General features: G+C 44.5%; 1 protein-coding gene and 1 long non-coding RNA gene across 5 annotated transcripts in view, besides 1 other annotated feature; one reads left to right on the forward strand and one right to left on the reverse strand.

Moving 5' to 3' along the window:
• KIAA2012-AS1 (KIAA2012 antisense RNA 1) overlaps positions 1 to 24,565 on the reverse strand; it is a 29,504-nt gene extending 4,939 nt beyond the window's left edge. Inside the window, exons 1-4 of one of the 2 annotated variants that reach the window (NR_135243.1) lie at positions 24,394 to 24,565; positions 22,436 to 22,566; positions 21,013 to 22,095; positions 19,750 to 19,910 (exon numbers count right to left, since the gene is read on the reverse strand). This is a non-coding gene — a long non-coding RNA (KIAA2012 antisense RNA 1). Of the gene's footprint in view, positions 1 to 19,749; positions 19,911 to 21,012; positions 22,096 to 22,435; positions 23,412 to 24,393 lie in introns of those variants that run through there. The other variant, NR_135244.1, reaches the window with a different exon arrangement.
• The window catches only part of KIAA2012, a 131,934-nt gene that overhangs the window by 19,239 nt on the left and 85,999 nt on the right, over positions 1 to 26,696 (forward strand). The window contains exons 4-11 of one of the 3 annotated variants that reach the window (NM_001277372.4): positions 537 to 692; positions 4,942 to 5,084; positions 7,120 to 7,303; positions 7,814 to 7,956; positions 10,453 to 10,621; positions 13,268 to 13,417; positions 17,120 to 17,296; positions 20,843 to 20,953. In NM_001277372.4, coding sequence (NP_001264301.2) covers positions 537 to 692; positions 4,942 to 5,084; positions 7,120 to 7,303; positions 7,814 to 7,956; positions 10,453 to 10,621; positions 13,268 to 13,417; positions 17,120 to 17,296; positions 20,843 to 20,953 — 1,233 coding nt within the window. Of the gene's footprint in view, positions 1 to 536; positions 693 to 4,941; positions 5,085 to 7,119; positions 7,304 to 7,813; positions 7,957 to 10,452; positions 10,622 to 13,267; positions 13,523 to 17,119; positions 17,297 to 20,842; positions 20,954 to 26,696 lie in introns of all 3 variants that reach the window. The other 2 variants (NM_001367720.2, XM_017003112.3) reach the window with 2 other exon arrangements.
• Positions 11,892 to 11,981: an enhancer, noted in NCBI's record as "active region_16997". NCBI's record gives its function as "activates an Ori minimal core promoter by ATAC-STARR-seq in GM12878 lymphoblastoid cells {active_cell/tissue: GM12878}" and the evidence as "EXISTENCE:reporter gene assay evidence [ECO:0000049][PMID:35858748]".

A 26,696-nucleotide genomic window follows, 5' to 3' on the forward strand; every position in this document is an offset into this window, starting at 1 on the left:
GAGCCATACAGAACACAAGAGAGCTTTGTCTCTCCAATAGACTACTGAGTGCCTTTTAAAAGGGCCCAAGTCTGGTTCCACTGTATCTACTTCACTGGCTAGCCGAGGGGTGGGCCCATTGGGAAGTCCTCAATAAATACTTATAGAATGACTGGATTGAGGAGGCTGCTGATCATGGGGCCTACAGAAGCAAATAGGATACATCCACTACCACTGGATCTCCTCCTGAGGCAGGAGGAGCTTTTTGCTCCAAAGCAGCAGCCATGCTCCTTCCACCAGGGAGACCCAGTTCTTGGGAATGATGGGGTGGAGGAAGTACACATGTAGCACAGAACCAGAAGCACCCAAGACACTAGATAGACAAGGCCTCTGTGGGTTCTATCTGACTTTTTAATCTCCCTCATCTTCTAATTGTCTTCCCTAATGGGCAATGTCCAAAGCCAAGACTAGTGTAAGTGAGGAACCTTGTAGTTACCACCAAGAACTTGAAGTTGGCTACCACTATTTCTATCAATATCTCCTGATCTACTCTTCAGGATACATCAAGGATTCTGTGCTACTCCAGGACAGTCAACTTAATGTACCAAAGAAGCTCAGGCCACAACAAGATCTTTCAGGTGTACCCCCAAAATACCATCTCCTGCCTGTCTTCCCTTCATTTTGGATTCAACAAGGAAAATCTTTTGAACAACGTACGTGTTGATTTACATGTTGATTTTATGACCAGTTCTCAGATATTTGAATTGTTAACACCTTAAAATGGCATTTCCCAAAACAAGGTCTTGAGATTCTGGGTTGCATAGTCCTCAATCTGTAAAATGAGGGGTTAGTGCAGACCAGCACTGTCCAATAGTGCTTTTCACAGTGATGGAATGTCCCATATGGGCTGTCCAATAAAGTGGCCATTAGCCACATGTGGCTATTGAGCATTTGAAATGTAGCAGTACAACAGTGAAACTGAGCTTTTTATTTTATATTAATTAATTTATATCTAAATAACCACATGCAGCTGGTGGCTACTGTGTTTGGCAGTGTAGGTCTAGACTTTAGATTTTAGATGATTTCTTAGATCTGTTCCACTCTTATATTCCTGAATCCTGTGATTTTTGTGGCAATATGATGTGAAATATATATATAGGATTTAGAGCCAGAAATGTGTATCGAAATGGCTGTTCTCTCATTTACTAGTGTAAGATCTTAAGTAAGTCATTTAACCTCTTTGAGCTTCTGTTTGCTCATCTCTGTAATGGGCACAGTAAGATCTACATAGTAGCTATACAGAAAATTATTGCAAGCCGTCTGTAAACTGTTTAGTATTATGGGGATTGACACTGTCAATCCCAATATTATTCTATGGAACTTGAAGCATTAAAAGAGCCAGAAGTCACCTTTGGTAAGGGAGATGGGAAAAGACAACTGGGTAGCAGTAATAGGCAAAGACGAGAGCCTTGGCTGGTAGCAGGGTTCTTGAGAAAATAAAAGAGCAAGAGCCCAACATAAGATTTTTGGCCAGGCTCAGTGGCTCATTCTGTAATCTCAACATTTTGGGAGGCCAAGGAGGGAGGATTACTTGAGGCTAGGAGCTTGAGACCAGCCTGGGCAACATAGTGAGACCCTGTCTCTACAAAAAATTTAAAATTTTAGCTGGGCGTGGTGGCACATGCCTGTAGTCCCAGCTACTTGGGAGGCAGAGGCAGAAGGATCACTTGAGCCCAGGAGTTCAAGGCTGTAATGAGCTATGATGGCACCACTGCACTGCAGCCTGGATGACAAAGTGAGACCCTGTCTCTAAAATATGTATAATGAAATTTTCCAGAAACAGTGGCAGTGCCTGACCAACCCCCATCTTTGGGGAAATGATCCGGTCAGGATAAGTAGAGAATCTGGTTTATCAAATGAATGGAGAAGTGAACATGGCAGGTTCTCAGAGCCTGGGGCCATTAAACATTTCAACCAACCACACATCTCACTTGAGTCTTTTTTTTCTTTTTCTTTCTTTTCTTTTTATTTTCTTTTATTTTATTTTTTATTTTTTTTAGAGACAAGGTCTTGCTCTGGCTCTGTCACCCAAGCTGAAGTGCAGCCATGTGATTATGGCTCACTGAAGCCTTGAATTCCTGGGCTCAAGCAATCCTCCCACTTAGCCTCCTAAGTAGCTGGAACTGTAGGAGCACACCACCACTCCCAGCTAATTTTTGTATTTTTTGTAGAGATGGGGTTTCATCATGTTGCCCAGGCTGGTTTCAAACTCCTGTTCTCAAGTGATCCTCCCACCTTGGCCTCCCAAAGTGCTGTGATTACAGGCATGAGTCACCGCTCTCGGCCTCAGGGCTTTCATTTTATGGCTGGATTAACAGTGCACACCTGAGGGATAAAGTGACTTTCCTAATTGATGCCATATACCAAGGAGCTGTCACAATCAGGCAGAAAACAAAGAGGCTGTATCAAATAGTGATTAAACATGTGGCCATTAGCACCGATTCCAAGCCATATAGCCACTCTGGGCCTTGGTTTTCTCATTTATAAAATGGAGATGACCATACCCATCTTTATCTCACAGTGTTGCATGTGGGAATTAAATAATATACTAATAGAAGCTGGCACATACTATGTGCTCAATAAATGTTCATTATACCTCCTTAGCTTGTGTTTTAAGCATAATTACTAACTGGAATGCCCAATTGCCCATGATCATAGGGGCCAAAAAAAAATCTATTTTAAAAGAAGCAAAAATAGTTCAGTGGCTGTAACTTGAACCCTGACTGATGTTTTCATTTGTTTGAACCTCATCTTCCACTGGTTTCCCTCTCTTTGCCCAACACTTTATCTGAAGAAGTAGCAAAAGTCCCAGCTGCAAATCCCAGGTCTCCAATAATGTGATGCTGGCTAAGTCACTTATGCTCCCTGCATCTTCAGTTTGTGCATATGTAAAATGCAAATACTGGGGTCTGCATTCCTTCCTCCCTGGGTTGTTTGTGAAGAATAACAGGAGAGGACAGAGCTACTCCAATGCACATTATCTGGATTATCTGAATCCATGCCTGAGATATAGAGAGACTAAGTTTTGTGGTCTCCTTTCAACAACTAAAGCTTCCAATACTTTGCTTGCAAACCTGTTTCTATTAAGCACAAATAAATGAATCAGATGATGATGTTTACTAAGAAAAAAAATTCTGTTTCCCCTCGCATTGATTGAGTCACATATTCAAACTCACCTGGGATATTACCAAAGGGAAAATTGTCTCTGTATCCCCCTACTCACAATGCCGCCCACCCCAACTTAGATACCCAATGTGTAAGACTGTTCAGACTGGGCACAATGGCTCATGACTGTAATCCCAACACTTTGGTAGGTTGAGGCGGGTGGATCACTTGAGGTCAGGAGTTAGAGACCAGTCTGGCCAACATGGTGAAACCCCGTCTCTACTAAAGATACAAAAATTAGCTGGGCATGGTGGTGCATGCCTATAATCCCAGCTACTCGGGAGGCTGAGGCAGGAGAATCGCTTGAACCTGGGAGGTGGAGGTTGCAGTGAGCCAAGATCATGCCACTGCACTCCAGCCTGGGCAACAGAGTGAGACTACGTCCCCCGCACCCCCCACCCAAAAAAAAAGAGACTATTTAGTAAGTTTCACTTCCTCCACCCTCAGAAATGCATTTGGTTCCAGGTGAATCTGACCAGAAAAGATGGACCTAGTTTAGTGTCTGGTTTGACCCCAAGGAATCATTCTACAAGGGATCATTCCAGAATATCCCCAAAGGTCTTTAGTGCTGCACTCTGTATGGAGTTGAGGTCCTCTTAGGAGCAGGCCTAATGTAGCCCTGGGTCACCTCATATTAATGAGTCCCCAGCCCATCAGATTTCCCTGGGCCACTAAAACCAGAGCAGACCCTCTGAACCTGAACCTGAGCCTGAGCCTGTATTTCTTCCACCAACACTCAGCCTCAGTTCACATCTAGCATGGCCTTCAGGAGCCAGTGGGCAAAGGAAGGAGAGCTGGAGGGAGGGAGTAGCCCCACCTGTGGGCAATTGACTCTTGGCCCAGTGACACCAAGGATGGAAATAATGAACGGGAGCAGAGAGGGAAAGTGAGGCTGGCTGGAGGCAGGAGGAGAAGCAGCTCGCAGAAGTCTTGTGATCCATCACACACAGGCCCGAAGCCTTCCAGAGCCCCTAGTTGAAAGACAACCCCAAATTGTTCCATGGAGCTGCATGCTGGGAATAAAGGTATTGCTAAAGCTTGGCTCCAAACAAGGAAGCTTTGCCAGACTGCTTCAGCAATAAATCTACCTTGAGAAAGTGATGAAAACAGCTGCAGGACCCCTTAAACCATTGATGAAAGACTTGTTAACTATGTTGGAGTCATCTGTTGACTCAGATCCTTCCTGAGGGTTGCAGACAGGATAAGTTCAGAGAGCTAAACAGCAGTCTTACCTCAGTGCATTCGGCAGAGGCTTTTCCACAAGTAAAGAGCCAGGAGATAGCCCGGGAATCCCAAGAGCTTGCTTCAGGCTGAGCACCTCCATGACAACAGAGCAGGCTGCAGGTCACGCCACCATAATCACAGCACTGTCATCCACTAATCCCTCACAGTTTACAAGGGGCTGTCACATTCATTATCTTATTTGAGCTCCAAATAACTCTACAAGGAAGTGAGGGCAAGAAATCTGTATCCCCATTTTACAGATTGGGAAACTGTGTCCAAGAAGTGAAGACTCAACCCTGAGCCTCCTGACTGCCAGTGCAGCTCTGTTTCCACAGACCTGGCTGCCACTTCCGAGGAGGCACTATCAGAAATACAAAATAAGGGAGGAGGGGGAGCAAGGGAGGGCCTTGAGCACTTTTACTCAGAGAAGCAAGAAGGGAGGCAGTTTGGAGGCAGCAAGAACACCACGTCCATTTCCAGGGTGACAAGCTGACCCATTGTTCACCATTGCAGGTCAACAGGGCCTGGATGAAGGGGAAGCTGGAGCTGCTGGACACGTGGACCAGGGCCCTCTAGCCAAGAACCATGGCAGTCAGGGGACTCGCTTGCCACCACGCAGGAAGCAGCCCTGGCAGGAAGATGAAACGCAGGCAGAGGTACCATTTCTTTTTTTTTTTTTTTTCCCCGAGACGGAGTCTCACTCTGTCACCCAGGCTAGAGTGCAATGGCAGAATTTTGGCTCACTGCAACCTCCGCCTCCTGGGTTCAAGCATTTCTCCTGCCTCAGCCTCCTGAATAGCTGGGACTACAGGTAAGCACCTCCAGGCCTGGCTAATTTTTTGTATTTTAGTGGAGATGGGGTTTCACAATGTTACCCAGGCTGGTCTCAAACCCCTGAGCTCGGGCAATCTGCTGGCTTCAGCCTCCCAAAGTGCTAGGATTACAGGCATGAGCCACCGAGCCTAGCCAGAGGTACCACTTCTAATGGGCTCTCTTCTGTCATTGTTCTTGACTACAGAGAGGATTCTCTCTCCCTTTGCCATTTCTTGAGACTTCCAGAGAAGGGAAGAGTACTTTGACCTTTTTGACCACCATTTCCCCAAAGTGTCACCTATAGAACTGTAGCATTGCAAGATGCTCCATTTAACAAAGTTTTGGCTGGGTGTGGTGGCTCACGCCTGTAATCCCAACACTTTGGGAGACCAAGGCAGGTGGATCACCTGAGGCCAGGAGTTCGAGACCAGCCTGGCCAACATGGTGAAACCCCGTCTCTACTAAAAATACAAAAATTAGCTGGGCATGATGGTGGGCACCTGTAATCCCAGCTACTCAGAAGGCTGAGGCAGGAGAATCGCTTGAACCTGGGAGGAGGAGGTTGTAGTAAGCCAAGATCGCACCACTGCACTCCAGCCTGGGCAACAGAGTGAAACCCTGCCTCTAAAAAATAAATAAATAAGGGTTTCATAGGCAAATACACTGGGGAAGTGCTGCACGCCTTCTCCTCCTGGAAAGTCACATGTGTAGTTAGATACAGAGAGCTTGGAGAAGTTCTATAACATAGTCACCAGCTTAACTTTGTTAAACTCTGGGTTTTCCAAACTTATGTAACCACAGATTCTCCCCTGACTCTTTGCTCATCTTGGCAGCTGTTAATCTTGTTTGAAAAATAGCTATTGCCTTAGACTCAGAAAAGCCTTGTTTTGGGTCCTGCTTTTTGATAGTTGTGATGAGCCTGTCCAAGAATCGTAACTAACTTTGAGCCTGAATTCACCTCTTCTGTAAAATGGAGCTATTATCATATGTCTAACAAGGTTACTGTGAGAATTAAATGAGTTACAATGTAGAAACACTTTCTAAACTCTAAGGCCGTGTGTGTGTGTGTGTGTGTGTGTGTGTGTGCACGCGCGCGCGCGCGCAGGATAACAATTGTTCAGAGCAACATAGACAACATCTGCTCCCATCCTGAATAAACTCATTTGACTAACAAGAAGGTCATCTGCCAAGGAGAAGAGGAAAGGGGGAGAAGAGCCACAGAGTGGAAGGGCAGAGGGGAGAAACATTTCTTTTTGGGGGGTGGTGGGGGAGGGACACGATCTTGCTCTCTTGCCCAGGCTGGAGTGCAGAGGTGCTACCACAGTTCACTGCAGGCTTGACCTCCTGGGCTCAAGCAATCCTCCTGCCTCAGCCCCCTGAGTAGCTGGGACTACAGGTGTGTGCCACCATGCCTGGCTAATTTTTAAAATTTTTTTGTAGAGATTGGGTCTCACTATGTTGCCCAGGCTGGTCTCAAACTCCTGAGCTCAAGCAATCCTCCTGCCTCGGCCTCCCAAAGTGCTAGGATTACAGGTGTGAGCCACTGCGTTCAGCCTGAGAAACATTTCGTAATGGATAAAAACACCAATACTAGCACTTCATTTTGATTTTTAATCAAAATCTTGTGATTTTTTTTCACAAGATCGCACTATATGTCAGGCATGGCTAAGTATCATTCTTTCCATCATCAACAATAAAATGTTTTATTGTAATAAACAGCATTAAAGAGCTTGCTGTTATAACCTTATTTTTCTTCCCAACCTGCAAAAGAAATTTCATCCTTGAAACCATAAGCCTAGCCACAAGGGCTGTTAAAGAAACCTGCTCTGCCCCTTTATGACAGCCTGTTTACAGGAATGTGTATCTGTCGTTCCCTAGGACACGTCAATAGAGAATCACCTTTGTTTATATGCTTCAAAGGAGAGCTACAATGAAAAGACACAGCAAACCTCCAGGAAGGCCTTTGGGCATGGCCGCATCGATCACTCTTGGCTCCCAAGTGACAAATCCCACATTACATTCTGTGGAGGCGCCTTCCCTAATAGGAAGGCAGATCTCAGCGGTAAGAACTCAAATGTCTTGCTCATTGATCTGGGTAAAGCCAGTCATGCAGAGTTCATTTAAGGACACTGAGGCATGCCAAACATCACTTCCTTGCGCCACTCACCTTACAAAATAAAAGCCAGAATCTAGCTGGACGTGGGAATGAGACTCTGGCAGGCTCCTCTTTGCCTAGTGCTTAGCTGCATGCATTCGGAAATCATACTGTCTGGGCTCAAGTTACCCCCACTTACAGTTGTGATCTTGGACATATTAACCAATATTGCTGATGCTCAGTTTTCTCATCTGTAGAATGGGGATAATAATTACCCCATAAGGCTATTGTGTAAAAACCCAGATCAGGAGACTGGGGCTCTCTGAACCTGCCTCCCCCAAAGCTAGGGCTGTCCCAGTGCCCCAGCACACTGCCTGCCTTTCTCCCCATTAACTACGACGTGATAAAAGTCAAAACTCAACTGTTCATCCCCCTACCTGCAATTAATATATTCTCATTCTCATCCTGTTTTTAAAGATAAACAAAGGAACGTGAAACTCCACAAGGCCAGAAGCAGCCACTTGTTACAGGTGCTTCCTGCTGAAAGAAGCCTCTTCCCTCCTGTAGCATCTGCCACTGGCTCCAGAATAATCACCCCTGGGGAAGTGAAGAAGAAAAAGGTTGTGTGTATATGTATGTTTGTGCATACAGGAGAGAGAGAGAGGAGGGAAGAGAGAAAGTTTAATCCTAATCTAGAAATAAGGTGACTCGAAAGGATGTCTCAAAAGAGAACTGGCCTCTCTAGCGTCTGAGCTGACCAGGTGGAGCTGAATAGAGCTGTAGTAATTTACTAAAGGTTGAAAATCACGAAGTGCAAGGAATTTCAGCTGCCACCAATTCTACCTTAAAGCATGTGTTATTACCACACTCCCTGATAGCAACAGAATTCTTTGATTTCTTAAGGGGCAAGGGATTATCTGTAAACGTTTTAAAGGACAGAATTTGAGTTTGTAAGCAGTTAACTTACTTCAGATTCAAAATGCTGGAGATCTTGAATCCAGCAACAGTTTGGCTCCACTGAGGGTCTATCACCTTTGAAAATGCAGGGGAAATTTTGCAAGTCTATCAACCTCCTTTGGGAGTCAAATACACCTTTTTTAGAGATGTCCTTGGCTGTCTCTGGCCTGGTCCTGCCTTGCAGTTCTATGTGGGTCTTTCTTTGGTGTTTGGAGGCACCAGTGATGAATGGGGACAAGCAAGGGCCCCCGGATGTTCTGCCCGGAGTAGCTATGGGAACATGAGCAGGTCACTCACACACTCTGAGCACAGTGACTTTATCTGTGTATCCAGATAATAATGTCAACCTTACAGGGCTGGTAGAAGAGATGAAGCACTTTTAGGAAAGTATGTTGTATCTGACTGTGATCTACAGTGATGTTGATTAATTGCAGGGATTCATGTCATCTGAAGTGTTCCTGAAGCAGCCATGGGCACTCCAGGTGGTCCTGCTGCCAGTGAGGGAGGTTGTTTACAGTCTGTTCAAGATTTTCTCAGATTTCCTGTGTCTGAGTTGATCTAAACCTTTCCATCCACACCAGAAGGGCCTCTGTCTTCCCAGGTTCCTTTGGTGCAGGAGTGAACAGCAGGCTTGACCTGCCAAGCTCACCACAGGCCCAAGGAAAGCCCTCGACTTTGCTCCTGGGTCAGGCCAGAACTGAGCCAGGCCCAGAGGAAAGGAGTCCCTTCCCTCAACCCATGTATATGGTTTCACAGAGGAAAGCAATATTTTCCACCATATTAAAACTCTGTGTAAGTTTTTAATTAGGATAAAGAAATTAAGTCTTGGCTCGTCAGCCATACCTCACACAAATCATTTGAGTTTCCACATTGATTTCTCAATGCAAACGTTGTCAAACAAAATGCACAAGGTCAGTATTCAAAAAAGGGCAGTTGGTGTGGGCAGCCGGCACCTGGACAGTGAGGGTCTCCAGGATCATAAAGATCCTATGTGCGTGTGTTTGGTTTATCATTTTCTTAATGTCTCAAAATTATAAATATTACCCTGCATAGATTTGGTTGAATTTCCTTCTTCAATCAACTCTAAATACATAGGTTGCTTATGTATGCTTCTGATCTTTTTTTTTCTTTTTGAGTACTAAAAAGGAGACACTAGAAGGGTGTCTGACTTCCCAGATTTCTTTGGCCCAGGAGCAAACAGCAGGCCTAATGCTTTTATTTTTCCTCCTATGAAACTGAACTCCTGAAACCAGAACATGTACACATTTCACAGAGCCAAGTTCATATGTTAAAAGTTGCAAACTAAAAGGAGAAATTTTCAGCAACCTCTGAATAATTAGAAACAGGAGGCTGTTACTACTACCCCCAGTGAATCTCTCATACACACACACATACACATACACGCACACACACACACACTTTTTGGGGGACAGAAAAAAAACTGGACAAAGTTGCTGATTCTGACACACAATGATTCTTTTTCAGCTATGTTCATATTACATAAGTATGAAAAACTTCAATTTTTCTGCTAGTGGCTAGATAAATGCTAACGAGAGGAGAGTCTACTCTCAAAGAAATATGGAAATAATCCTAGTTTCAAACACTATTATAATTGCATATATTAGCTCATTTAATCCTTACAACAACCTTATAAGGTAAGTAGTATGATTACTCCTGTTTTACAGAGGAAGAAATTGTAGCTTGGCTTAGATAAGGTCAGCAATCACAAATGCTATTTCCTGCACCTTCTTAGTGGAAAGCTTGCTCAAACAATGTTCTGTACTTTGCTTTTTCCCTTAACAGCATATGCTGAGATTTCTCCCAATCAGTTCAAAGAGATCTCAGCTATGTCATTTTAGTCCGGCTCAGTCTTTCCAGCTGCAAGAAAAAGAAAGACTTTATATCCTCTCAAAGGCTCTTAAACTGAGCATGTTTATAATTCTCAGAGGATTCACAGGCAGGATTAACAGGGGCATATGCTGGATCCCAGGAGACCAAGTGGCACCACTGAAGTCAGATACCGGCTCCCAGCTGGATTAGCTTACCTCTCTCAGCAGCTCCTGGTGCAAGAGATACAATAAGAGACAGTATCGTTTGCCCCTGCAGGCAGCAGGGTTTGGATACCTGCCATGATCGTTTTGTTTTTAAATTTTCTCCAGGCACCAAAGGCTTTGAAATTACCTCCTATCTCAGAAGAACCACCCAGAGTCTTGGAGCCCCTGAAGAGCCAATTTAAAGCCAATGAGCCCCCAACAGAGCTCTTCATCTTACCGGTGGAGATTCATTACCACACCAAACAACCCCCAAAAGAGAAAGCCCACAGAAGAGGTAGGTCCCGGGTGCATGGGCACTCCTGAGGGAGAGCCTGGGATGGGGGGTCCTGCCACTTCTACATGCTCCTACATCATGGCTGACGTTCCCTATGGTCATCCCCTTCAGAGAATATTTTTTAAAGAAGGAAAAAGGATAAAATCTAGAAGAAGATCTCTTCTGATCATATTCAATTGGATTTTTAAAATATTTATTATACCCTTCATTAAGCAATGCATTTTGTTAAGCTGTGGAAGAGAAAGGAAGACAGGTATTTACATAAGTAAGTCCAATGCACCATAGGTGTTATAAAAGGGCAAGAATTTTTCAGGCAGCTTACAAAAAAATAATTGTATAAAACAAGACAACTAAAATTGAAATTGGAAAAAAAAAAACCTGGGTAAAAGGAGTAGAGAAATAGATGTTATCAGACATCTGAGATGAATTCATGGTTTGAAGTAAGTACTGGATTTAGCTGAGTTTCCTGGCAGCCAAGGTAAAAAGGACACTGGAATCTTTACACCTCCATTTTATAAAAGAAAGATAAAAGTTTATCCAAAAAGTCATTTTCCTGATTTTGAATTAGGTTATTTTGTAAGGGATGACCTCTATAATCTTTGCCACAGCAGAGATTATGTGCTTCTAAGCAAAGTTCTAAGAGAATATGAGCAAAGGAGTTCAATTCCAACTGGCGACGTGGGCTTTTTAGGGGAGGCTTCTGAGTGACCTCTCATCCTGTGTCACAAGGAAAAACTCTTTCTGACTTTCCTTTCATTCCATAGTACTCTTGTTTAAGACACATTCTTGCTCCAGGGACTTCTCTGGGCCCTCTGGGGCAAAAAGTGTCCTAGTTTTGACAGGGGTCCTAGTTCTGAGTTTTCTAGAAATTTCAGCAGAGACTGCCACTGGCTTCTTGGAGAGTTTGACTCCTGGGAATCACACAGGCAGCCATTTTGTTCTAAGCCTGTTTGGACTTCTTACTGGAAAGAATGCCTAACGGTGGAGCTTAAAAGACCAATGGAAGGGGACATGAAGGAACTTTCTGGGGTGATGAAAAATGTTCTCACTCTGGGTTGCTTGTATGGATTATAGATTTGTCAAAACTCATTGAACTGTGCACTTAAGATCTGTGCGATTCACTCTATGTAGATTTTACCTTGCCAAAAAAAATTACTCAGCTCCCTAAAAAAAATAATAATAATAAATAAAATCAACAACACAGTGTTTTAAAATGCAGGTCATCTTATTCAGGTGTGGTGAGGCCAACAGATCAGGAGACAGTTGGCACTGAAAAGATAGTTTGTTACTCACAGTTCCAAGAGGAGGAGGCACACCACACCATGCAGGGCCACACGGGGGCGCACCAGCCTCCAGGAGGCAGAAGGCAGGGAGCACAGGCAAGAGGCTGTATTGTGGTTTTCACAGAAGGAATATGGGCAAGGCAGAGCAAGCAGCCTAAGCAGATTTAGAATTGTCTAGTTTGAATAATTCAGCCAGCTCTGCAGCATAGGGGCTATCCCTTGCTGTCTGGTACTGGCCCTCTGATAATTACAGCAGGCAGATAGTAGCCTGGGAATGTTAAGAGTTTGATAAAGGAGGTTGTTGAGGGTCAGGAACTCTGGGTTGGTTGGGGTGCATATGACAGGTATGTTCCCAGGTGAGTCATTTACTGTGTCTAGGAATTGGCCAGCCCTGGGAGGGACAGTCAGGTCCCAGACATCAAAACATCAGAATGAAAAGATACACTTAATAAAAAGACAGACAATACTATTCACAAGATTGGGTTCGATCTGATTATTTTCCATGATGACCCTGATAGGAAGGTGAGGAAAACCACCAGGCCATCATGAACCAGATTCTTAAAGCCAGATGCACTGAGCTTACCAACACACTGACAATGAAACACAGGAATCGGGTACAAAGACAGTGAATTCATGGAGTTCTTCCCCATTTACATGTCATAAGGACCCTCCTTTAAAAGCATCATGAGCCTAACTCAAAATGTGTTAAGCAAAAATAAAGAAAAGGAAAGGGGAAAAAGGAAGGAAAGATGGAAGGAAGGGAGACACAGAAGGAAAAGGAAAGAAGGAAGGAAGGGAAGAAATGAAGGAAGGAAGGGAAGGAAGGGAAGAAAGGAAGAAAGGAAGGGAGGGAGGGAGAGAGGAAAGGAAGGAGGGAAGGAAGGGAAGGAAGGAAGGAAGGAATTTGTTCATGCAAGAATCAGGTAACTGCAGGACTGGCTGAATCCAGGCCTCAGAAAATATGTGTGCAGTACTTTTCTCTCAACTCTGTTAGCCTTTCCTCTGAAGCAGGCTCCTACCATGAGGTGATAAAGATGTCTTCCTGCAATTCCATGCTAATCTCCTTCCTGTTAACCTCTATAGGAAGGATATGCCTCTTAAAAGCTCTTGCAAAGCGCAGAAATCACCCCGATTGACCAGACTTGGGCCATGTGCCCACCCCGGAACCAATCTCTGTGGCTAAGGCAATGAGGTACTCTCATGCCAGGCTTCAGTTCCATAGCCCTCTCTGGAATCAGCAAATGGACACTGCTCCAACCAAACCACATGGTGTGAGCAGGGAAGGGATAGGTCCCCAAAAGAAGAGACATTAGGCAAAAACAACAGACCTCTGCTACAATTCAGCCTCCTCTTTGTCTCCTAGGTGCTCCACACCCTGAGTCAGAACCAGAAAGCAGCGAAGAATCCACACCTGTGTGGAGACCTCCCCTGAAGCATGCGTCCTTAGAAACACCATGGGAGTTAACAGTGCATCTCCCAGTGGACGCGAGCAGGGACACACTCTCACCTCAAGGTAGCTCCTCCCTCCCTCCAGCATCCCTCGGGAACCTCACTCTGAAGGGAAGCAAGGCAAGACACACAAGGGTCCACAGCCAAGGAAAAGGAGTCTGGAAGGGAGGTTAGTTCACCAGCAGCCACTGGAAGATGGCCTTTGTGCAGGCAGCAGCTGCCTTCACCAAAGTGCTGCACTAAAACTAACAGTGTCCAGCTCACCAGTTACTTACTCCCTAACTCATCCCACTGCTAATATTTTAACAGTGTCCAGCTCACCAGTTACTTACCCCCTAACTCATCCCACTACTAATATTTTAACAGTGTCCAGCTCACCAATTACTTACTCCCTAACTCATCCCACCACTATTTTCTGGTTGCAGATGTAGAAAAGCGTCAAACTTACCAAAAGTTTCCTGCATGCCTTATAGTTTATCCTGTATTTTTAAACAATGAAATTTCATTTCTAATCTGTTTATAAATATGTATTTATTCATTAAAAAGTCCATAATATCGGCGGGGTGCGGTGGCTCATGCCTATAATCCCAGCACTTTGGGAGGCTGAGGTGGGCGGGGATCACTTGAGGTCAGGAGTTTGCCAGCCTGGCCAACATGGTGAAACCCCGTCTCTACTAAAAATACAAAAAAATTAGCCAGGCATGGTGGTGCACACCTGTAATCCCCGCTACTCGGGTGGCTGAGGCACAAGAATCACTTGAACCCAGGAGGCGGAGGTTGCAGGGAGCTGAGATTGTGCCACTGCACTCCAGCCTGGGTGACAGAGCAAGACCCTGTCTAAAAATAAAAAAAAAAAATTTTTTTTAAAAAGTCCATAATATTGATAAAAGTCTTCACTCCAATTTCCATGACGTGGACATTTGAAATTATACACATGGGTGCATCTAAGTGTTTGTGTTTATGTGTTGGATAGGTTGGAAGTAACAAGCCATATTTAGAAAGCTCCCCATTTTCAGAAAACTGAGCCTCCTTTCCAAAGGGCACGTGCAAGATGACAGTATCACAGATGTCAAGTGACCTCTGACTACTGGTATCAGAAATAGGAAGATGCACATTAATGTGTTTGGAGTTCTTCCTCTGTGCCAGGCACTGTTCTTAGTTTTCAACGTATTCTCTCAGGTACTCCTCACAGCAATCCTCTCCTCCTTTTACAGATCAGAGAACGGAAGCCCTGAGAGATAGGTAGTATGTTTGAGGTCACATAACTATAAGTGGCCTCACTAGGATTGGAGCTCAGGGCTTCCAGTGCCAGAATCCATGTTCTTACTCATTAGACTACATTCCCTTTCAGTATAAGCCCAACATTGTGACTTTTCTAACTAATACCAAAAAAAAAATAAAAAAAGAATAAAAGAATAAACCAAACAATGAACCTAGGTCAGGACGTTCTCGAAACATTCAGGTTTCGAGAATGTCCTTTGATTATTGAGGCAGAGGCTTATTTGGTCTATCTCTTAAGTGGGAGTTAATTATCCTAAAGACTTTAATGTTTCCTTTTTCAAAAAATCCAAATATCGGCAGAGATCACTCTGCAAATAGAGAAAAAAGCACCTTTCTACTTATGGGCCACAATGCGAGATGCACAGCTGGAGCCACGAGATAAAGGACACTAGTGAATTTCATCTTCCATAGTGTTCATTTTGCACTGCCCTACATTTGTTTTGAGCTGCCATGACCACCAGGAACTGAGTACCAGAACTTGTCCCTCCTCTGCCACTCTGCCAGGAGGAAACTGGTTTAAGAAGCCCCTTGGTATAAATTATGCATGCGACTGAACCTGGGAGTAAATGCAGAAAGAAAGGGACCTAAAGAGGCAGTTCCAGCTGGGCGCAGTGGCTCACACTTGTAATCCCAGCACTTCGGGAGGCCAAGGCGGCAGATCACCTGAGGTCAGGAGTTCGAGACCAGCCTGACCAACGTGGTGAAACCCCATCTCAACTAAAAATACAAAAATTAGCCGGGTGTGGTGGCACACACCTGTAATCCCAGCTACTCTGGAGGCTGAGGCACAAGACTTGCTTGAATCCAGGAGACGGAGGTTGCAGCGAGCCAAGATCACGCCACTGTACTCCAGCCTGGGCGACAGAGAGAGGCTCTGTCTAAACAACAACAGCAACAACAACAACAACAAAGAGGCAGTTTTTCATGGCAGTCTTCACATAGAGGTCCCTGCTGCACGGGCATATTGATGCTGAGTGGGACTGCTCCATTGCCACGGAGGCGACACATATTTATTTACTTGCCTAGGCCTGGATTACTTCACCTCTAATACCACAGAAATGAAGCCAGCTTTTATGTATGCATCCACACATATATATTTTTATTTTATTGCTTAACCATCTGAGAGTAAGTTGCAGACATTGTACCATTAATCCCTTATCAGCACGTATCTCCTAAGTCCAGGAATATTCTCCCTCCTAGCCACATACAATTACCACACTCAAGAAAGCAAACACTGGTGTAATAGTACTTTCTAATTTCTAATTCATAGTCACATTTCTCTATTTATACCGATAATGTTCCTTTATAGCTTTTGTTCAACCTAGAATTCAACTCAGGATCATGCATTACATTTAGTGGTCCCACTCTTTAGAATCTTTTCATCTAGAAGAGTCCCCCAGTCTTGTTTTTCATGACATCGACATTTTTGAAGAAGATGGGCCAGTTGCTTTGCAGAATTACCTTCGATTTGGATTTTTCTATTTCCTCATAATGAGATTCAGATCAAACCTTTTTGGCAGGAATATCACAGAGGTGATGTTGTGTCCCTCTCAGCCCATCATATCAAGGGATGAAAAATGTCAGTTTCTTCCACTGTAAGTGATGTTAAATTTTATTATTTGGTTAAAGGTGATATCTGCCCCATTTTTCCATTGTAAAGACACTTTGCCTCTTTTTAATGAATAAGTAGTCTGTGATAATTTGAGACCACATGAAGCCAATTTTTAAACCCAAATATTAATAGCAACTATTGTTTTACATGTGAAATAAAGACCACTCCCTCTGAAAGAGGTGAAGCCGAGGCCTCAGTCACTTGGGTTCCTGGGTTTCCTGCTTCCTAGAGCAGGCCCTGTTGCTGTTGAGAAGAGAAAACAGAAGCAGAGTGTAGGGTATGCTCTATGGAATGCTACCATCAATCCTGATACCCTCTGACTTCCATCTGGAAGGTAGCACTTTTTATTTAACCCTGAGGAAGGAATGCAATCATTGACTCTGCCTAGCACAACTACTTTTTGTTCAGAAATCTGTATCCAATAATCTCATCAGCTCTAAAGCTGGGATCTCCCTAGTCAGAGCCTTAGGACTAGGGTTGGAAGGAGTTTGCACCCTCTCCAGTCCTCCTTCCATCTCAGGATTTCATCCGTAAGATGAGAATAAAAACCACCACCACTCAATTCCTCCCAGTTCTTGGCAATTTTCCAAATGAACAGCCACGATTCTAGCCAAGAGTCATGTCATTTTGGCCACCGGAGATATCAGGTCCCTGGTGCTTAGCAGGACTGGAAAAGAGGGACAAACCTGAGAATGAGTGGAATAAACCATCCTAACACCAGGACAATTTCTCCCTTCTAGCCACAATACAATTACCAGTTCTTCATAGCAGTCTTCACACAGAGGTCCTTCAACCAAGTTAGAAGAGAGCTTCCTTCTCCTTCCTGCTGATTCTGTTTTCTCACACAGGCTTTTTCCCCTTTTGTTTTTAAAGATGATGATGCCCCACCTCACGATGTGGCCCCACCATTGGATCTTCTACCCCCGATTAAAGGAAAAAAAAGTCCTGAGAGCCAGAAGGGCGTGGACAGCCCTAGGACATCAGACCACAACAGCCCCCCAAGTCTCCCGAACATGAGAGTGCCCAGGAGGGCACTGCCAGCAGCTCAAGGTAATCATTCCCAGAGTGCATAGACGCCCCCCACTGGCTTGAATGTGGCTCATTGCCAGGGCCGCATGGCTGCTATGATGTAAGTTTTCTGAAAGGCATTCCATTGAAAAGGGGTAATTGACACTGTTTCTGATGATGTCAGTGGGATTAATGTTCCCCATGCATATTTCTAAAGGGTCAGTACATGTTTTAAGGGTTTGCTGCAGCAACATGCACTGCTACGCTGTTTTGGGCTTTCCTCACTCCTGGCAGCAGCATTTGATGACACAGCTCCCTGTGCTCCTGGGGGAGACACACTACTGGATTTACCAGGCACACTCCAAACTGAGCCATAACCCTTGCCCCCTGAGGCAAGAGAGCCCGATGAGCCTGCCAACAGAAGAGTCCCCAGACAGAAGTCAACTCCAGCCCAGGGCAGAGCCTGTTCACAGAGACGGAAAGACCCTAATTTCTAGGGAAGGGTGAGGCAGGGCAAGGCCATTCCCTCTAGGATTTAGCCTCACTTCAAGTACTTATCCTTAAGGAGTCAAGGAGGGGACTAAGATGCTTATACAGAGCAATAATGCAAGGACAGTGCAAGAGCAGCTCCCCCGGGGCTTCCATCTAAAGGTAGCTCATAGAGCAAAAATGGCTTAAAGCCCAAGTTACCCCTGAAAAATCCCTGGGAAGGTGCCACGCTGGAGACTGACAGACCATTTTCAGGAATATGTGGTCCAGGCAGCTGTTTCTGCTTCGTTGAAGGCTTGGCCTGCTTTCTCAGTTTGAGCACCAGATGAAGGAGATGACATGTGTTTGGGGGACAGATTGTATAAAGAAAGAGGTATCTCTGTTAACAGCAGAATCACACTCAGGGCTGTGAGAAGCTCACACTTTGAGAGGCATGTGGGAACAGAGAGCCATCACAGAGGCAACAGATTTCACATCTTTCATTTCATGCTCACTCAGGGACAGAATGCCTCAGTATTTAAATCAGTCTCACTTGCTCTCTGTCTCCCCCACTGCCCAGCACACCCCCTTCTCATTCTCTCCCCAGAGCATATATAGTTGAATTCTTTAAGCATAAATTAAATCCACAGATTAATAGTTCCATTCTGTGTTTGCAGCTTCTGTTTCAGGCTGAGATGGTCAAAATTAAATCCCTTCCTTCCCCGCAACATTCTCTCTATCCCTAGAGACGTTGTTTTCACCTAGAAACCGTTCCAGGGTTGGAACTTCTCTTTCACAACCCCCTCCCCTTTATACTTGTGTGACAGCAATGCTCTTTTCATTTTGATACAATTGAACCAAACTTGGTGTACTGTTATGTCCCCACCTGGGGCCTTCCTAGGAAGTTGCATGGCCTGGGACAAATCACAGCAAATGGATACTCAGGCCTACTTTAGACATCCTTATAAAGGGAGAATCTGATTAGAATAGAATGCCAGTGGCTGGGCGTGGTGGCTCATGCCTATAATACCAGCACTTTGGGAGGCTGAGGTGGGCGGATCACAAGGTCAGGAGTTCAAGACCAGCTTGTGCAACAAGGTGAAACCCCATCTCTACTAAAAATACAAAAAAAAAAAAAAAAAAAATTAGCCAGGCATGGTGGTGTACATCTGTGATTCCAGCTACTCAGGAGGCTGAGGCAGGAAAATCACTTGAACCTGGGAGGCAGAGGTTGCAGTGAGCCGAGATAGCACCATTGCACTCCAGCCTGAGCAACAGAGCAAGACTCTGTCTCAAAAAAAAAAAAAAAAAAAAAAAAAAAGGATAGAATGCCAGGACCAGGACTGGGAAAAGAGAGCAGCCTGAAGCCTCAAGTATGTGTGTTGGGTGTGTGCATGTGTGTAAGTGAATGTGGGATGTGTGCTTATATGCCCATGAGTACCTGTATGTGCTTGTGTGCATGCATGTCATTGTGCACATCTATATAGGCATGGCTGCATATGCACGTGCATGTCTACATATTCAGTCCTGTGAATGTATGTGTCATATGCTCATGTATGTCACTGTTCATGTGTATGGGGGTGTGTGTGCATGCCTGCCCTGTGAGAGTGTGCATATATGTGTGTGTGCCCCTGTGTGAATATGTCAGTGTGTTTGTAAGTGTGCATGTGTATGTGTGTACTCCTTAGCATCCACTCTAGCTGGTGGCCTGCTAGTCCAGGTAGCTGGACTCCTGGACTCTTTGTCTTGGAGATGGGGAAGGTAAGTATGGTATAATATGAATAAATTTGATCTTTGTCCCTGGTTTCTATTACTAAGCTAAAACTCTTGGAATTTTCTGAATGATAGTAGTATCTTTTGTTATTAATAATGAGCCCCTTTGAAAACACCTGAGTTTATGCTAATGAGGTGATGTAGGGTAAGGCCCCTAGGTAGCCTCATGATGGGTGACCAGAAGGACCAAGCGATAAGAGGATTAGAGGGTTGGAGCTTCCAGCCACAACCTCCAGGAAAGGGGAGGGGACACTGGAGATCAAGCTCTTTATTAGCTGTTGACCACGAATTGATAAGCTTCAGCATTGCTGAGCGTGTCTAGGTGGGAGGGCAGCAGGCCCAGAGAGGGCACGGAAGCTCGGCACATGCTTGCCCATCTCTTCATATGGCTGTTCACGATATCCTTTCTAATGTCCTTTATAAATAAGCCAGAAAATATAAGTAAGCGTTTCCCTGAGTTCTGCGAGCTGTCCTACCAAATTGTTGAACCCAAGGAGAGGGAGGATTGTGGAGGCCCAATTTAGAGCTGGTCGGTCAGAAGTACAGGTCACAATCTGGGACTTGCAATTGGCATCTGAAGTGGGGGGCAGTCTTGTGGACTGAGCCCTACCCTGTGGGATCTGACACCATCTCCAGGTAAAGAGTGTCAGAACTGAATTAAATTATAGGACAACCAGTTGGTATCTGCTGGAGAATTGCTTGGCATGGGGGAAACCCCGCAATCTAGTCCCAGGAGTGTTCTGGGTTGAGCGTTGAGATTCAAGTGGGGAATAAATGACTTGTTTTTTACTTTTACAGTCAGGTTATAAAAAATACCTTCAATCTTTCTAAGTAACTAGGGAGACACAGCATCCTTCATCTTGACCTGAGCCCCTGGCATCACCAAGCCATCCCAGTATTTCATCTAGAGGTTCTGGCCGTGCATGCTGAGTACTGCACAGGACATCTGATGGAGGCGGACAGCAGAGGCAGGAAGCAGGAAGCCCTGTTCTCAGGGGCTGGGCTGCATACAGCTGAAGGAAGGGACTCCCTTTCCTTCACACAGAGTGCCCCCGCTCACTTAGCCCTGCCCCTGAGGTAGCCAGGCTCTCCTGAAGGCATGATGTAGGCAAGTGGTAGCCCCTCCCTGTTCATCCCACCTTGACCCCCGGAAGGCAGGGCCTGAACAATAGCCCTGCTCTGCTGAGTCCCAGGAGTAGGGCTCACCCTATACTCTGGTGGGCACCCAAGCACATAGGCATCTACGGGTGTGTGCCCGCGGGGGACCAGGGGAACATGGCCCAGGTTTGGTCTGTCTCCCTCACCAACACGGTACTGACACTGCCTATGCTTGTGCTTATTTTCAAGAAGATTCCAGCGACCCTACACTGGGACACTTCTTGCTGGGTCCAGATGGAGAAAAAGTCTGCCTGTCCCTCCCAGGGCATACCCAAACCGAGGCGCTTCCATCGGGTAAAGGTAAGCTAACACATTCCAGGGCAGCCTTGTTTTTTTTTTTTCAAAGGGGAAGATGTTACCTGCAGCTTCCAAATTTTCCCAGCAGCAGCGACATCATTAAAAACAGACGCAAGTCAGCCAGTTTCTCCCCTTTCACCGACACAGAGGTGCTTCTGTAGCTCAGAGACAATGATCCAATGTTTGCATAACAAGTTTACTCTTGCTGGAGCATTTGGAGAGAGAAGTTCCAGTGGAATGGCTTGGAAGAGGTCTAATGTGCCACGCTGATGCCTTGATGAGAATGATAAAGTCCTTTTGGTATTTGCCCAAACTAAACACTGCCTTTTCTCTTCTTTCCAACCACCCTGCAGAGGTGGAGACGGCTAATTGGTAATCCAATCAGGTATCCTTGTTATGTACATTGGTTCATCCCTGTGAATCATCTGGCTCCTACAGATAGCAAGGCAGTTTCCAAAAACCCTTCTGGCATGTTCACTTTTTAGAAAAGAGATGCTGCCTCTGGGCAATAGCCATTTTGCAAAGGAAAAAATAAATGAAGTCAGAGGGTGATGAGCATCAACCACCCAGAAACCACCGTGATGTGTATGCATGAGTCTGCAGCCAGCAGGCTCCTTGATGTGGGAGATTAAAAGCTGCACTCATCTGGGGGGTTACGTCATGACCCGCTCAATAAAAAGAACATGGATTCAGAGCTAGGAGATTTGAGGAGCTCTGGCCTCGTCTCTAAGTTGCCAGATGACTTTGAGTCAGTCCCTCATCCTCCCTGTATCCAAGGTTCCTCCACCAAAATGAGAGGATTGATTCCTCCCCTGAGAAATTCCTTGACCATTGCTGCATTTTACATCTTGTGTCCGCTGCTATTGAAGCAGCCACCCAGTATATGGATTTCCAGAAAGTAGAATGTATTTGATTCCAAATTCAGCATCAAAGAACTTCCATCAGCAGTTGGTTTATACCAGGATATGAGTATAAAAATATCTTGGTTCTGAATTGGTGGAAGCAGGAGTTAGACAGGTGGAGGCCACTGTCAGCATGACACAGCTGGTGCAACAGCTGGAAAGCAAATATGATTCTGTTCACCTGCTGCACATTTGTCCACTCTGTTCCAGGAGAAATAGTTCCCCCTTTTGGCACAGCAAAAGCTAGAAGCAGAAAAGGAAATATTTAGGCTGTAAGTTTATTGTCACCATTGTCAATATGATGCTTCAGTCATTTTAGTATCCCTGGCACCTAGCATAGTCCCTGACATATACATAGAAGGGTCACAATAAATGTTCATTTAAATTTTTTGAAAAATATTTCAATAATTTCCATGACATGGAGAAAGAGAAAGATGAAACTTATGCTGATAAATGAAGACATGCCTGCCATCTTGTCCCAGTCCCACAGATGGTATATTTAATCCTACTTGCCTCTCAAACCTAAAGGCATTCACTGCATGCTTATTGAATGAATGAATGAATGAATGAGTTAGCCACTGACCTTTCTCAAGCCTTTCCTCCATGGGCAGTTGGTTGACCTTCAGTCTTGATGGTGACAGGATGTTGCTCAAGAAGGTGGTGAAAGATCTTAAACCCACATCTTCCTATAAAGGTCTGGCTTTCTAAGAGTCTCTATTAATAAGCAAAGATTTTTTTGGTTTGGGCTTTTTTGTTTGTTTGTTTGTTTTGGTTTGGTTTGGTTTGGGAGACAGTATACTGAAAAAAATTTTTCCTCTCGCAAAATATTAGGTTGGAGCAAAAGTAATTGCGGTTTTGCCATTACTTTTAATTGCAAAAACCACAATTACTTTTGCACCAACCTATAATTGCTCCAACCACACCGAACTCTTTGCAGATCAGTTTGTTCAAAACCATCTTAATCACCGTCTCCACCCTCCCCTTCCAGCCTCATCTCCTACTATATTCCAGCCCACCCCTTGTTCATCTCTTTGATGACCTAAAAATTCAGTCTTCATTCTTTTCTCTCCAAACTTTTGCTCAAGTTTCCCCCAAATATTTAGAATAGCTTTAAGTTCATCTTTTCTGGAACATTTTCCTTAATAAATCCACCTCATTGCACACAGCTGCCTAGATGTAGCCTCAGCCCCATTCCTCTCTCTCTTTCTCAATCCCACTTTTGTGATTATTGTATGTATCTGCATCTGTTTTCTGTTTAGCTTCCAATATGAGTCCTAGAGAACATCTCATCTCCATCATATGTCCAGGAAAAGCTTGTTGATTGACTGAATACTCCAGGTGCCACAAAGGAAAGTTCTTTAGGGATCATAGTTGTTGCTGGGTTTTTTGTTTTTTGTTTTAATTAAAAAAAAAAAAAAACTCTTGAGTAAAGGAAGGAATACGATCCATCTGATCTTTCTGAGACTTCCAGGCTCTGTCAACAACTATTTGGAAATAAATTCTTAGGCAATTAGATCATGGTATCTTCTTTCAGACAGCATAGGGAAATGAATATAAACCTTCAGAAGGAAAAAAAAAAAGATGTGAAGACTAGAGCTGGAATTTGACCCTTTTGGTCATGTTGGGATATTGAACATTTAGAAAATTGAAAGTCTTGAGAAAGGAAAAGTTAACTTAGAAGGATACATGTCAAACCACTGGATATGCCCTCTGAATTGCTTATCCTTGATTCAAATCCTTCATCTACTCCCCTAGTCACAGTGCCAGCAATAGAAGTTTTCTCTCAGAAGTTCTTTTATTCAGAAGTTTGTTTTACAAAGAAGTTCAAGGATGTTTATGCCAATGATTCAGGTTGGGCATCAAGTCCCATGTAAATTTAAATTCCTGGTCTCTTTCAGAGTTTCTGTTTAGTATTTGTTCTTGTTCTAAATGGATTTTTACCCTCAAAATGTTTCTTGGGTGTTTTTTGTTTTTTTAGACAGGGTCTTGCTCTGTCGCACAGGCTAGAGTACAGTGGTGCAATCATGGCTCACTGAAGCCTCAAACTCCTGGGTTCAAGCTATCCTCCCACCTCAGCCTCCAAATAGCTGGGGCTACAGGCACGAGCCACCATGCCCGGCTTTTTTTTTTTTTTTTTTTTTTTTGAGATGGGGTCTCCCTGTGTTGCCCAGGCTGGTCTCAAACTCCTGGCCTCAAGCAATCCTCCCACCTAGGTCTCTCAAAACACTGGGATACAGGCATGAGCCACTGCACCCAGCCTTTCTTGTTTGTTTGTTGTTGTTATTTGTCATTTAATTAGCATCCTTCCCCCTTGCAACTCTTTCTTGGTGTGGTGGTTTTAAAATACATCCACAAATTCTTTGACACTTCCCCCTTCAAAAGGGAGAAACTAACTCTTCTCCCCTTGAGTGTGAGTGGGATATGATGGCTCACTTCTAAATAAAGATAGACTATGGCAGAATTGATGGTATGTGACTTCTGAGACTGGGGTCATAAAAGGCACCAAGGCTTCCTCCTTGCTCTCTCTCTCGGATTACTCACTCTGGGGAAAGCCAACCACCATGTCTGTGATGAGGCCACTCAAGCAGCCTATGGCAAGCAGTCCACATGGCAAGGAACAGAAGCCCCTTGCCAACAGCCAGAATGAACTTCCTAGGCTTGTGTGGGAGTTGCCTTGAGAGGAGGTTCTCCAGCCCCAGTCAAGTCTTCAGATGACTGCATCCCTGGCTGACACTCTGTCTGTGACCTCACAAAAGGCTGCACCAGAACCACACACCTAAGCCACTCCAAGATTCCCACAGAAACTGAGGCATAACAAAGGTTTATTGTTTTAGGTTTCAGGATCATTTATTTTGCAGTAATAGATAACTAGTATTCTAGATAACTAGTATTCTTGGTGTCATTTTGTGATGGTCTGTGATTTGGTTGACAGAAAGATGAGTCTAAGAATATCCCAGCTGGTCTGAAAACACTGATCATTTAGGGGTAAACATAGGCTAAGTGACTGTTCTCCCATTTTTCCTTTGTGATAAGTTGGTTGTGGGACCCCACGGGTAAAAGAATCCTTCCATGTTGGTGGGGTACTGTTTAAAGTATGATTTTCCTTAAGTAGCCCATCTCTTAGTAGCTGTTACCTTACTGATGATGCCGAGAGATGTAAGGGAGGACAATTAATTTTGATAAGGCCATGTGAGGAAGAAGAAAAAACTCTGGTTTTATTCCCACCTGTACTGCCCAGGATTTCTGTGATCACAGGCAAATAACTTCATTGCCTTGGACCTCAGCTTCCTCATATGGAAAAAGAGGAGTTGGTATTAGATCCAGTCCTCACAGCACATGTCCCGTCGAACTCCAATTCCTCAGAAGGTTAACAGGCATTGTGTAAAAAAGGAAAGGTTCTAGGGCCAGATACATTTGGAAACCAGTGGACCAAAGTTAAGCAGATCCCTTACCGCAGGACTTCCTAGAGCCTCCGATATGCTGATGTGCACCGTGGTTCTTCAGGATGGGGATATGCACTGTTTCCCAAACTTATTTGATCACTGAATCCCTTTGTTTTTGGTAAAGCATCATGTGGATCTAAAAAGTTTTTGGCAAACTTTGGAAAATGCTAAACTGATGATTTCTAAGGTTCTCCTAACATGGCATGTTTCTAAATATGCCCCTTTCCCCAAGGAGATTCTCTCGGTGGAGCAGTTCTTGTGTCTAAATCCTGAAACAGGATTTCAGCCATTAATCATTTGTGACTATTATTATTTTTATTCTCTAAACATCAGTTCTGAATCATAGAGTCCACAATCCATCCATCTCTGGATAGGAAGAAATACAGGAAGATAGGAGCCCCACGTGGTTATAGTGTACACTGCCCCTTGTGCCTTTTCAGTGTTTTTCATAACCCTCATGAGAAATAATGTTGGCAGGTGTTACCAGTACTAGTGATCTCTGGTCAAATGTTTGAGTAAAGGAAAATGTGGCTGGATATGGTCTCTGGGCACCCAGCATTTCCTTCCAGTGGGTGTTCCTGTACTACAGAGGCTAGAAGGCTAAAAACTACATTTCCCAGATAATCTTTGCAGCTAGGGAGCTGGATGCAAATTATTTTCTGCCAATTAGATGTGCTTGCATGAGATTTGGAGAGCAGAAGTGAGGCAGAAGCATCAAAGCTCTGGGCACTGAGCTCATGAAGACTGAGCATGATAAGAGGCAGTTACTGTATAGTAACTCTGTTTCTTCTTAAAAATATTTGGGCAGTTTCTGTTCTGGGCTGAACCCTGACTAAAAAGCTCTCCTTACAAAAATTACAGGAGATTCCCATCAGGCTTGGCATGGCGCTAAGTTAGGTCTATCACACGTACCACAGTGTTGAGAGATTGTAGAAGGGCAGGCTGTGATAGCTGCATTTGTCCCAGCCTTCAGAAGGAAGCAGTGTTCTTTCCCTCACTGTAGTGAGACCAGTAAGGCCTCACAGCCCACTCTGGAAGGTGTCCTGATAGCCACCAGTAGGGAGCTACTAAAACACAGTAGGGACTCTCCTTCATTTCCTTTGACAGAAACCTCTTGTGATTCCTAGAAACATAAAGACTTCCCTACCTCATATGTAGCTGAAAAGGTGGCATCATCACCACTTTATGGCTTCCGAAGAAGAAACATGTCAAGAATAATAGCTTGCGGCCAGGCGCGATGGCTCATGACTGTAATCCACTTTGGGAGGCTGAGGAGGATGGATCACCTGAGGTCAGGAGTTGTTGAAACCCTGACTCTACTAAAAATACAAAAATTAGCCAGGCATGATGGCGGGTGCCTGTAATCCCAGCTACTCGGGAGGCTGAGGCAGGAGAATTACT

This window comes from Homo sapiens, chromosome 2 (assembly GCF_000001405.40).
Source record: "Homo sapiens chromosome 2, GRCh38.p14 Primary Assembly".
Lineage (NCBI taxonomy): Eukaryota > Metazoa > Chordata > Mammalia > Primates > Hominidae > Homo > Homo sapiens.